At 38.3% G+C, this 12490-nt stretch overlaps 1 annotated feature.

Annotated features, from left to right (window-relative positions):
- Positions 406-606: a silencer, noted in NCBI's record as "peak1439 fragment used in MPRA reporter construct". NCBI's record gives its function as "represses an SCP1 promoter by STARR-seq MPRAs in K562 erythroleukemia cells {active_cell/tissue: K562}" and the evidence as "EXISTENCE:reporter gene assay evidence [ECO:0000049][PMID:32103011]".

Genomic DNA, 12490 nt, shown 5'->3' with positions numbered 1-12490 from the left:
TTGGCTTTAAGAAGGACCATTAATAACAGCCACTTCAATTTAATATAATCATTAATTCAATGAATATCTTTCATTGGCCACTGCAAACTAAGTGTTGGAGTCAGAGCAAGAACAACAACAAAAAAGAGACAATATTCTCATTATCATGGAATTTTCCTTTTTTAGGCATTCATGTGTGCATACATGCATGTGTATGTGTTGTTGCTGCTGTCAGAAATAGCGGGCAGACAATAAAAACCAGTATCAGGTTATAAACAGCTCGGTGTAGAGAATTTAAAGGAGTGAAATGATAGAACTAGTTTAAATTGGGCCATTGGGAAGCCTCTGTGGAGGTGACATTTGAATTGGAAACAGAGATAAAAGAGCCAACCACTGTATGATCAGACAGAACATGTTTCCAGAAGGGGGAAAAGCTGGGCAAAGGCCCAAAACCAGAAATAAGCCTGAATATCTGAGACCCAGGCAGATGCTCAGTGTGGCTGGAGATAATGGGCAGAAAAGAATTGATTGGAATGAAGCTAGCAACGTTGGCGAAGCCAGATCTTACGTGGCTTTGTGAACCATAATAAGTAGTTTGAGTTTAATTTAAATACAGTGGGAGAATATCTGTGGGTTTTAAGGAGAGGAGTAACCTGATCTGAGTTATATTTGAAAAATGAACACAGTGCTTCTGGGCAGATAGTGGATTTATGTGGAAGGCCAGAGAGGCAGCTGGGAGACTTGTTAGGAGGCTCTCAGAGTAGTTAAACAAGAGGAGTCGTGGTTTGGAGTGGGCTATGTAAGTGCAAATGGAGAAAAGTAGAGGTAGAATCTGCAGGACGTGCAGAAGAATTTGATGTGGGAGAATGAGTCTTCGATTTGATATGAGCAAAAGAGCTGATGGTGGTGCCATATTCTGAGTATGAGGAAGACTGAAGGGAAAAGCAGATTTGAAGGAGAAAAGTTGAACATGATGTTCAGGGCTGTGAAAGTTTGAGTTGCCTGTTAGATATAATGTAAATGACAGGTAAGCTATAGAGAGTATGAATCTGAAGCGCTAGGGTTGGAGATGGAGAACTGGGAGCCATCAGCATAGCAATGGTATTTACAGGCTTGGTAGTGGAGGAGGTCACAGAGGAGAGTGTGGATAGAGACGGGAAGGCGCCAGGAGAGACTCCCTGAAGAAGTCCAATATCTTCAAGCCTAGAATAGGAAAAGGAGCCAGAAAGGAGGCTGAGAAGTAGCCAGAAATTTTAAGAGAAATCCACTTAATAAGACTTTACCCTGTGTGAGGTCATACGCCAGCCTTCTATACAGGTTAACCACTTTAATCTTCACTTCAAATTCCAGAACTCTTTAGAAAGTGAAGTCTGGCATTGGGCTGTCTCTGCTAGAACCCAAGCATCCCCACTTGCTAGTGTATGACTGTGAGCACGTTCATTAACCTCCCTGTGACTCAGTTTCCTCATCTATAAAATGGGGTTATAAATATCTACCTCATAAGCTTGAGGGTTGGATTAAATGAACTAACATACATAAAGTCCCCAGAACAGTCTCTGGCACGTAGTGAGCACACCAATAAATGTGATCTAGCAGTTGCTAAATAGCTATTATTATCTGAATCTTATACTCAGATGGGGCTTGGAGAAGTTTATTTTCAGGTATAGCGCATGGTAGAGCTAGGGTTGAAACAACTTTGTTTGATCCCAAAGGATGTAGTATTTCTACTTTCCCTGTATTTAGACCCTTTACAATAAGAATAAATTGACTTATGACCAAGCCATCATTTTTGCCGGCCATAGTATCACAGCATAGAAAACCAATATATCATTTCAGATATGCATTTCAACCTTCATTCTCTCCAAGGAAATATTTTTATAAGAGATACTGACTGTTAGCCAAAGTCCCTAGATTTACTTTCTGTCTTGTCTGTAGAGTGGCTAAGGAAACTTTTCCACCCCCTAAAAGGGTAGTCAGAGTTAAACTGAGGCAAAAATGTCCACATAACTAACAACCAAATAATCAGTCCTCATGTAAATATATAACATGTTGATTATTATTGTAAATGTCAAAAATATTTTTAAAAGCAGATTTTATTAATAATCACTATTTAGACTAAATGAGGGAATCAGTCTTAACAAAGTAATATTTTTAAAGGAAACCTAGTTCTATTAATTTCAATTAAATAAAGCAACTCAAGTTAGGCTAATTAAGTGTTGTCAAGCAAAGGAGTTGGGAAGCTACTTCAATAAATAGAGAAGAATGATTTGTATTTAACATATTGGTTGTTTATCCATTAATTGGTGTTTTAAATTGTTTGAAGGCAATTTGTTCTTTTCAGTAAATTAAATGTTCCTCTATGCAAGTATTAGGCTATTTTATTGGCAACTTTTTTATAAAGCAAAGTTAGCTTCAGCTTAATCTCTTAGCAAATTAATGAAGGTTTTTTCCTTTAAGAGATTCTAAAGCTACTGGTGTTACAATTAGGTTCTATTACTAATTTTTAAAGAAGAGAAGAATTTCTCTGTTCATAATTCCAATATCCAATTACAATAAATTATGCAAAAAGACTGTTGCTACTTTGGAAGAAACTGTGAGGAACATCTGCCACCCTAAGCGCCAAGAGGTCTGACTATGATATAACATCTTAGGGTTCAATTTCATTTGAAAGTCTTAATTCTGTCTAAGTATACCACTGTGCATTACACTGTGTGTAATGTCAGAATTAAGACTTTAAATGTTAGAAGGAAGGAAGAGAAGGAGGAAAGGAGGGATAGAAGGAAGACAGAATCTCCATGATTAGAGTTTGGTTTGGAAGCCTAGTTTCTTTCTGAAAAAGGTCAATCACCATGGACTGGCTCAACCCTGAAAAGTTTCCAAAGTTAGGCTGATGTGCTCTGTTGAAATTCACCCAAGAATTGTACACCTTATTGCTGAGAAGTCACACCAGATGTCCTGTCCAAGGACTAATAACGCTTATTCCTGTAGGCTACATCCATATGTGAGGAAACAGAAGAGAGCATTTCAGAGCTAGTTAGTCAACTTTAAGTTATGCTCAGTGCACTGTATCGGGAATACAAAAGCATTTTCCAGATGGCATCATAAAGTTAGTTCATTTTTGCAAAGCACCATCTCATTTTTGAGAAATAGCCGCTTGTTTTTCATTCCCCTTGGTTGTTTCAGAATTGCTTTTTCTTGCCATAAATGCAATACTTAAACTAGAGGGCTGGTTAGAATATTTGCTGTATATTATAAAAACTGCCTAACAGACTATGAGTGTTCAAATATGAATTGACAAGGAGATTGATAATACATGGTCTTAACCACTGGCCAGGCCATCAAGGAGACAAAGAGCCAGATGGATATTGGGATTCTACTTTCACTGTTAATGATATAACCTTGGGTAATTCACTTAATTACACTGTGTTTCAGTGTCTACATATGCATGAGAGCTATTCTAACTCTCAGAAATTCCTTTGTGAGTCATCTAAGAACCACCTATTATTTGAGTTGTTTCTCTACCTACTTATCTATGTGAACTCTCTACTGTAGCCAAATTATCCCACTCACTTTCTTCCAAATACTCTGTATGCAACTCCAAATTTGTGTCCTTCATCAAGCTCTTTTCTTGGCCTAGAATGCTCTTTCTCTTCTCTGTCTAGCCAAATCCTGCCGTCTTTTGAGGCATCAATCAACTGTCCTTCTCAGTAAGGATATTCATGTATCTGTGCTACTCTATAAAGGGATTTACACATGTAATCACATTTAGTCATTAGAACAGCTTTATAAAGTAACTATTATTGTGCTCATTTTACAGAAGAGAGTATGGTACTTGAATAAAATGCTATACTGTCCCAAGGTCCAAAGGCGCCGTCAGGACTTAGATTAGAGCTCAGATTTCTTGGTTGCTGAAACCTGAATTCCTTCCACTACTCCACTCAGTCTCCTAGGGATATTTTCGTGTCATTTGTTGCAATTATTGTTATTATTGTTATTTTATACTCTTTTAATGCAAAGGCTCATGTCTCCTTACAGAAATAGTAAATGCCTTGAAAAAAGGAATACTATCTTTGTATTTCCTACACCAGAATGTAAACTCCACAGGGGCTGAGAATTTGACTTGGTTATTCACTGCTCCTACTTCAGTATGTAGAACAGTCCCAGACATAGTAGACACACAATAAATACTTACTGAATAAATTTCACTATGTCTCTTATGGCATCTGGGTTTGCATATAAACATTCCCAATAAATACTTGTTCTTCTGGCACAATAAGATTGTCCCCTCATAAAGATTTCTAGATTAAAATCTTCTTAGATATAAAAAAAAACACTTTTTCTTTATAGCTTTCCACGTCTGTTGTCCCTCTTCTGCTACTAATCTTGTCTTCTCAACCATGACTATTGTCAAATCATTCACCGAATATTTACATTACTCTTGGTTTTTCATGCTGACACCAAACATTGTCACATTTGACTCTAAATAATACAGAATGAGAATCACATCCTGAGTATTTATCCTCAATAAAAATCTGCTTACTAGATATTATTTATTGAGCAGTAATTATTTCCACACTAAGCACTTCATTTATATTAATTCTTATATAAGGACAAATATTCTGAACCCCATTTTACAAGTTAGAAAAATGATGCTCAGAGAAATTAAGCAACTTGCTGAGGACCACATAGATAATAAAATGATGAGCTAGAATTAAAGCCGGGGCTTCAAACCACTGAATTCTACTACATCCAAGTGGCTTGTGATGTTCCGGGAGAAGAGGCTAATATCCTTGCCAGCTGGCATGGCCAAATTAGACAAGTCCTGACAGTCAAGTCAGATATTGTGAATTATGAGACTGCATTTTTGAGGGCTGACTATTGGGAAAACTTCAGAATTATCAATGGCCCCACAAATATCAATTGTTTCTGTTCGTTTTCTTGACTTAATCTCAAAATTATTAAACATTCAACTAAAATTCCAGTTCCAAGTGATGCTATTTAGTTAGTGAGAATAGCTTCTATTCATTAGTGGAAGAAAGTCATTAATATGTAACATTATTATCTCTAACTTTACCCTAGTAAAGGCCAGTTGGTATTTATTAACATTTGGAATACAGATATTTTGCTAAGCTTACTTAACAAGACTGCATCAGTTAATGTTGACGTTAGTTTCGGTTTGGCACTGAGTCACAGCTCTTTGTTATTTCAAGGAGTAAGAATAAGTGAACTAGTAGTGTTTCAGTGAATATTAAAATGTGAAAAGCAAAACACAGTGAAAAACATGACTTCTAAGTATTTGCAATAACTCATAGTTTTTTTTTATAATTTTGGAGATGGTGAGAGTCTAGTTGTCCTTCTGTCTTCTAAAATAAACTGTATTTGGAACTTTGGCTTAAGCCTATTTTTAATTCATTTTGGTAAGTACTACTACAAGCTTTATCAGTACAAGTGCCTTTCAAAACACAACATAATCAGACAAACAGAATGTTATAGGTTGCAAATAAAAGAATTTAGATACTGTTTCTTTCTGTGCTACCTACCATATCCAACACTGGATAAATTGCTCAGAAAACAAATGTTAGTGTATTCAGCTTTAAGTCAAGGTTAATGCATAACTCAAAGAATTTTAAAGGGATCTATAAACCCACAAAGTGCTTAGAATTCTTTCAATCAAATCACATTGTAAACATTGGGTAAAGGACTGAGAGACTGTCATATGCTACTATTTTCTGTATTTTGACTTCTGTGTATATGGTAATAGGTGCACAGCAAGCAGTGAATTTAATTCATAATACCTGTTATGTAGTTCAATCCCAGAAAATAGAGGGAAAAAACTGGAGTGTAGCTTAGGAAATAGTATTGTTGTTGAGGCTCTTAGGAAACAGTATTATTGTTGAGGCTCTGTTGTGATATTAGGAAATCAGTAGCCTTTCACACACTCGAGCAAGGAAGCTGACTGTTAGTGTAGGACTCCAAAGTCTCTTGATCTACAGGCTTTAAATCATTGCTTAGGAAAAAAAAATAAACAATATATTCTTGTACTAGCAAATCAGGAATTAATGATAAATTATTTAGATGACTGCAAATTGCCTGTGGTTTTCACCTTGAGTATATGCACTACAAGCAGATGACTGGGTTTTTGTTGTTGTTGTTGTTGTTGTTTCTGAGACGGAGTCTTGCTCTGTCACCCAGGCTGGAGTGCAGTGGCGCGATCTCGGCTCACTGCAACCTCTGCCTCCCAGGTTCAAGCAATTCTCTTGCCCCACCCTCCCAAGTAGCTGGGATTACAGGCATGTGCCACCACGCCTGGCTAATTTTTGTATTTTTACTAGAGACGGGGTTTCACCATATTGGCCAGGCTGATTTCAAATTCCTGACCTCGTGATCTTCCCGCCTCGGCCTCCCAAAGTGCTGAGATTAGAGGCATGAGCCTGAGCCACCGTGCCCGGCCCAGGTGATTGTTTTCAGAGGATGTTTGGAGTTCTTTATTAGCAGACAGGATGCATTCATTAAGTATTCACTAAACGTGTATTGAACACCTACTATGTGTTCAGCTCTGTAGAGAGTGCTGAGATGAGTCATATATGGTCCCTACCTTTAAGGAACTCATCATCTAATGGAAGAGAGAGATATATCGACTGCCAACTGCAGGATGCATCCCAATATCATTCTTTCTCAGAGAGACCACACACGGAAGAAATAATGTGGGAAACATGGAAATATACTCAAAAGTCAGACAGAAGGAGGGTTATAGAATTAAAACCTATTAAATAATAATAACATTTAGAAAATACAGAATTGGATATATGGGAATCTTGTTGCAGAAGGAGGGGAAGCAAAGAGTTGGACTGAGGTTAGAGATAATGAGGGAACATGATGTGGCCAATGAGAGAAGCAGGGAGAGTTGTGGAGGAGAAAGTGTAGTGTAGTTGTGGAGGAGAAAGTGTAGTGGGGAGAAAGTGTACTAGACAAAGCAGGCCTCCGCTCCTGAAAGAAGCCAGTGACAGCAGAACACAGAGTCTCCCACCCATATGAACCTCTGGGAGAGCCAGCAGAAACCTCAATCTTTTCCCCAAGGGGTCACAGGACGAGTGGCTACAGGAAAGGCCATGGCCAATGCTTATAGCCTTGCTTACTCTTCCTCATTTTGCCTTCATATGGCCTTGATCTGGCCTATCTAGTGGGGTGATACGTGACAGAAATACCACAAAAAACATGAAATGTATCCTCTGTTTGCTTTAATCCTACAACAGTCTCTGCACTTAGCTAAGAGACATAAGGATGACTTTGTCCCATGGTGGAGTGGCGAGGATACTCCAAACTCCAAAACTGTATATTCTTAATTGTAAGTTCAAAAGCTTTGATCTAAGTGGGAGTTATAAGGATTTGGAATAAAATATTACAGAAGCTGGTTACTTCCTCTTCCTACCAATGCTATAATGTTTTAGTTTGAGTCTGCTGCTGGGATAGGGAGGAGTTATTTAATCTGGCTGAGTTTAAATTTTAAATGACTGAGAAAACACTGAGTAGTGTATCACCCTAGAGAAGTCTGCAGAAATAGAATTCAAGGTAGAAATTAAGTCCAATTTTAGAAAAACAGAGAGAGCAACATTTTTGCGCACAAGAATTTGTGAGTTGGGAAAGTTGCCTCCCCCAAACCTACTTTCATAATTTATAAAGATATTTCCTTTTAAACTAACTTCTGGGGATTTGTGTGTGAAAAAAATTACTGCATTATAGGTGTTAAAAAGTGCTTTAGGAGCCCTGTATGATTTGACTTGAACTTTTCTTTCTATAAATTCTTATTTGCTAAAGCTTAAAGGCCCTCACCAGAGTTATTTTTCTTTGGCTTTGTAATAATTTGCATCTGAATCTTGATTCCTTGCCCTGTGAAACACCGTGATTTGGGGAATTAATGGTGTTCTGAATAATATATTTAGGATGCCCAGGTAGGCTTAAATAGGAATCCTATCTGGATAGTCACACTGGGTTCTCTCCAGGAGGTAGGCATACCTGGGAACTCTTGAGAAGGGTGGACCAACTGTCTGTTTCCATGGGGAATTATCTACATCAACACTCCTGAGAAAGAACTTATCCTAAAGGAAAAGAATACAGATTAACAAGATGTCTCTCTGGACTCACGTCTGAGTCACAAGATTAGGGACTGCAATCAAGAGTGGAAAAAATCTTGAAGAATTGACTCACTAAAGCTTCCGTCAGACATTGACAGCTCAATGGAGCATTGCTTTGCAGCCCCTGTAATGGTAATCATATGAAAGCATTTGCCCCACCCCAGGGTGACCGTGGGAACCTGGAGAAGTTAAGAAATGAATGTAATAGACTGAACTGCAAGCTGTGGCAGTCTGGGTCTGGAAGGAGAAGAAGCTGTAGAAGATATTTTCCTTCAGTAGCTTCTCCACAGCCATGGTGGGAGATGGCAGAAACAGCCAGCATCACTTCTGGGAGGTGGACCACAGAAGAGAAAAAGAAACAACAGACCCAATAGGGTAGGTAAAGGATGCCCTCCTTCACTCAGGAGAAACAGTTCTTTCCTTCTCAGTCTCCTCTGAGAGGAATTTGAAGAGATAGAGTTGGGGGTTGAGAATAGGCTGGAGTGGCTATAGAGTGAGTGGGGACAAAGTCAAGGAACTTCTGTGTGTGTGTGTGTGTGTGTGTGTGTGTGTGTGTGTGTGTGTTTGCATGTCTGTTTATTGTCACTGTAAATCTATTGTTTACCCCTAAGATCTGGCCTGGTTAAACAACAACAACAAAGGTCTGCTTCAGTTTTTGGGAGGACCTTCTAAGTAGATTTCTGAATTAGGCCTCTCTTCAATTGTCTGGGGTCCCTTTCACATGAAGACTTTTCTGAAGTGGTCCTAACTCCATCACTTAAAGTGCTGTTCTAGCTTACAGGTCCACCAACGGAGGACCTAGATGGTTAGTTGTGATTTCTGAGGGGAGTGGTGGTGGTCATTATTGTCATTTTCCAGATGATGGGTAATCAATGTAGACAAAGGCTCTCCCTGGCAAAGTGACAAGAGTATAAGGAATCAGGAGGTGTTAATTAGCCTTTCGTGGCTCAGCTTCTTCATCTGTGAAACTGAGGTGATTCTTACAGTGTAGTGTGCAACAGAATCATCTGCAGAACTAAAAACAAAAAGAGCAGCTACTTGAGCTTCATAAATACCAAGTTAGAATAACTGCAGGTGAATTTCAAAAGAGCTCCATAGGCATGTCCACCCCACTGGTTAAGGACCACTGAACCATATTTTTCTCCAGGTTCCCTTTCACCTTTGAAATGCTATTGTTCCTCATAAATTTGTATATAATGTTTGTGGAAGATTAAATAGGCACAGTACATATTAAAATTTGTGAGACTTTTAACTTTTTTTAAATAGAAATTTATCCCAAAGAAATTAGGTAATGCACACAAACATGTGTAGTCCAGAATAATTATTCTTGATTATGAAAGCAAACCATTGAGACAACACCAACAATTAACAATAAGATCTTATTTATGAGATAAATTGTGGTATATCCCTAAAACAAGTTACAATTAGTCAATGAAAATTTAATTTTAAGAGACTAATTAATGATATGGAAAATGTTCATAATATATTTGTAAAATAAAAGCAAATTAAAAAATATATGCAAGTGTGGTTGTATATGGTTATAAGTGTGTGAAAATTTATGCTGAATGAAAGATGCTAGACACAAAAGAGTATACATGGTGTGACTCCACTTATGTAAAACTCTAAAAATGACAAATCCAATCTATAGTGGAAAAAAGAACAGTGGTTGCCTGAAACAAAGTAGACATTAGAACTGGACACAAGGCAACTTTTCGAAGTGATGGGAATGCTTTTTATTTTGGTCCTGATGGTGGTTACATGGGCATATAATTTGAAAACTTAAAGTGGGTACATTGTATGGTCTGAAAATTATTCTTCAATTAAAAATATATTTTCTTTCAACTATGTAAAAATGAATATCTAGAAAATTTTTTTGTATAAATACCTAAATTCTAAGCTGCTAAAACAAGTAAACTACTGAAACAAAATGAGGTGAACACTATTCCTTCCATTTTTTACAACTATATGTGCCTGTGCTTTTAAAAAAATACTGGACATATGTAAATATAAATACAAATGGTGGTTATTATGTTTGATGGTGGAATTAGAATTTTTATTATACTTTTCTATGGCTTTTTTTCAAAATTTCTAAAATGAACATGTTATAATTTTTACTAGAAGAAAATAATCATTTTTAAATGTCTGTTTAGAAGATGTTAAGCTGAACACAAAAGCACTGGAAGAACAGATGAACCAAGAGTTTCATTGTTAAGTTATTCTTATCTCTAATAAAATGTGACCTTTATTAAAAAGAAAAAAAAAAACCAGCAGCAGCAATAACAACGTGGGCGAAAAGTGACCGGGTGGGAATGTGCACTGGAGTTATTGAGGGAGCCAAATACACATTCAAAGCTCGTGGGCATGTGGGAATGTCTGTTTCCTTTCATTGAGATGGGCGGAATCTTGGCCAGTTGTAGCAGAATCTCTGGCCTATTTTTGTTCAAGAACTAAGGCCTGTTGCCTTCCCCAGCTGGCGCCCCCCTGTTGTCAGCCCACTGTACTCCAACGTTTCCTGGGTCTGTACAGAGCACAGGTCTGTACATCTCATAGCACAGGTCTGTAAATCCTACACCACAGCCAACTGTTCACAGTGCCCTGGGCAATGGGGAAAAAAAGAAAAGAAAAGAAACACCAGCACTAACCAAGGGACATGCCAGAGATAAAGGAAATGACACAGGCAGTTGCTCTGGAATAAATAAGCAGAGGGGAAAAATGTGGCTGGGAACCTCAACAAGGATGCAGGAGAGGAAGTAAACAAGCAAACAAAGCTCAAGGCTGAGATGTCCTGGAACAAAAGCCCAGCACCTAGGGGAGGATAAAAATCTCACCAGGACCACAGGAAATAGAGAACTTCCTTGGTAGAATCAACTTGACAAATATCCTACAGAGCCATCGATTGTGAAGTCCTGGTCAGCTCTCTGGGTCTGTTCGCTCCTGAAGAATGGGGTGGCTTAAATCCAGGTGGCTGCTTAACAGGATAAACTCAGAAGTGTCCAGACCTAGATGCCAAGTCTAGCACTCCCAGTTGTGATGTAGGGGGTACAATTCTCATAGAATACAAAGAAAGGTGTCCCCCTGGGGTGGCATACATGCTAAGGGTCACTTCCTAAACCTCATCCATAAAATGAGGTTAATCATACCTGCCTCAGATTCTGTAGTACAGGTCAATGACATGATTATGGATTACCCAGTTTCTCCGGGGCCCACTAACTTCTCGTCTAATTGAGATTGCAGTAATAGTTTTGTTGTCTTTTTCCCCTTCCTGTTAGGCTTTGTTAGGAGAATACTCAAGTCTGCTTACACTTAAATTTTTGGAGATTTTTCTAATGACTTAACGCTTTAGAATTTTATTTACTCTTCCCTCCTTTCCTAGAATCCAGACACGGCCTCATCAGATAAGACTAGAAACAGCTCCAGGTCAAAGACAACTCCTCTGTAGTTAGAATTATCACTTCCCTTCAGCCCCGATACTTGATTATCAGATCAAAACTCTGGTGTCCGACTCATCTTTCCTTAGAAGGAGTTCTTGGCTAAGAAACTTCTCAGCCTCTCATGTAAATGGGTTTCTGTTGGACACAAATTTTGGCTATAGGTGCAAGTTTGTTGAACAGTGCCTGCCTATTTCATACTAAGCTCTCAGGAAAAGGAAAAGTAGATCTCACTGTCCACTTGGAAATGATGGTCATGTGAATGAAAGACCAGGGTGAATGCTCTCTTCCCACAGACCAATCATCTTTTCAGATGTTTGAACCTACAAGGATCCTGAGAGATTTTAAGGGATGAGGGACTAAAAGAAAAGGATGCATTTTGTTTTTGTTTAGGTTTTTTTTTCAACACTTAGTTAATAGTCAAATAGGGGCTCTCAGATTTCTTAGCATATTTCAACTATTTCCACCCAGAACTAGCCTCTAGTTAAAATACGTTATTAAGCACTGATTTTATGGGAAGAGAATACTTAGAAAGTTTAAATTATTTTTAAATTATGGTTCTTAACAAACCCAGTAAGGAGGCATGCACTTAAACCTATTGGGAGGTAATATAGGTAAAAATCTAACATTTTATTGCTCCCCAATTAACTTTGAGAATAATACCCCATCTTACATAATCATCTAATTTTCAAATTGCAGAGATATCCAGCTGTGTCCAGTCCCTGTAAAGTCCCTCCAGCCCAGTACTGTGAGTTCCCGAAGAGCAGCCATGAGATTGTTCAGGTTATGGCTCTGCCCATCCCAATGTCCAGCCCAAAGCAAGTGTTCAATAAATGCCATTATTCAATCATCCCTGCTTCTTTTGCGGAGCTTGGAAGTGAGTATGTTGGATGGGGCAGGGATAGCCTTTCCCAGATGTCTCTGCCTGCTCCAGAGAAGCCTAATATAGAG

This window comes from Homo sapiens, chromosome 11 (assembly GCF_000001405.40).
Source record: "Homo sapiens chromosome 11, GRCh38.p14 Primary Assembly".
Taxonomy (NCBI): domain Eukaryota; kingdom Metazoa; phylum Chordata; class Mammalia; order Primates; family Hominidae; genus Homo; species Homo sapiens.
This window is presented reverse-complemented; position numbering and strand designations above follow the sequence as displayed.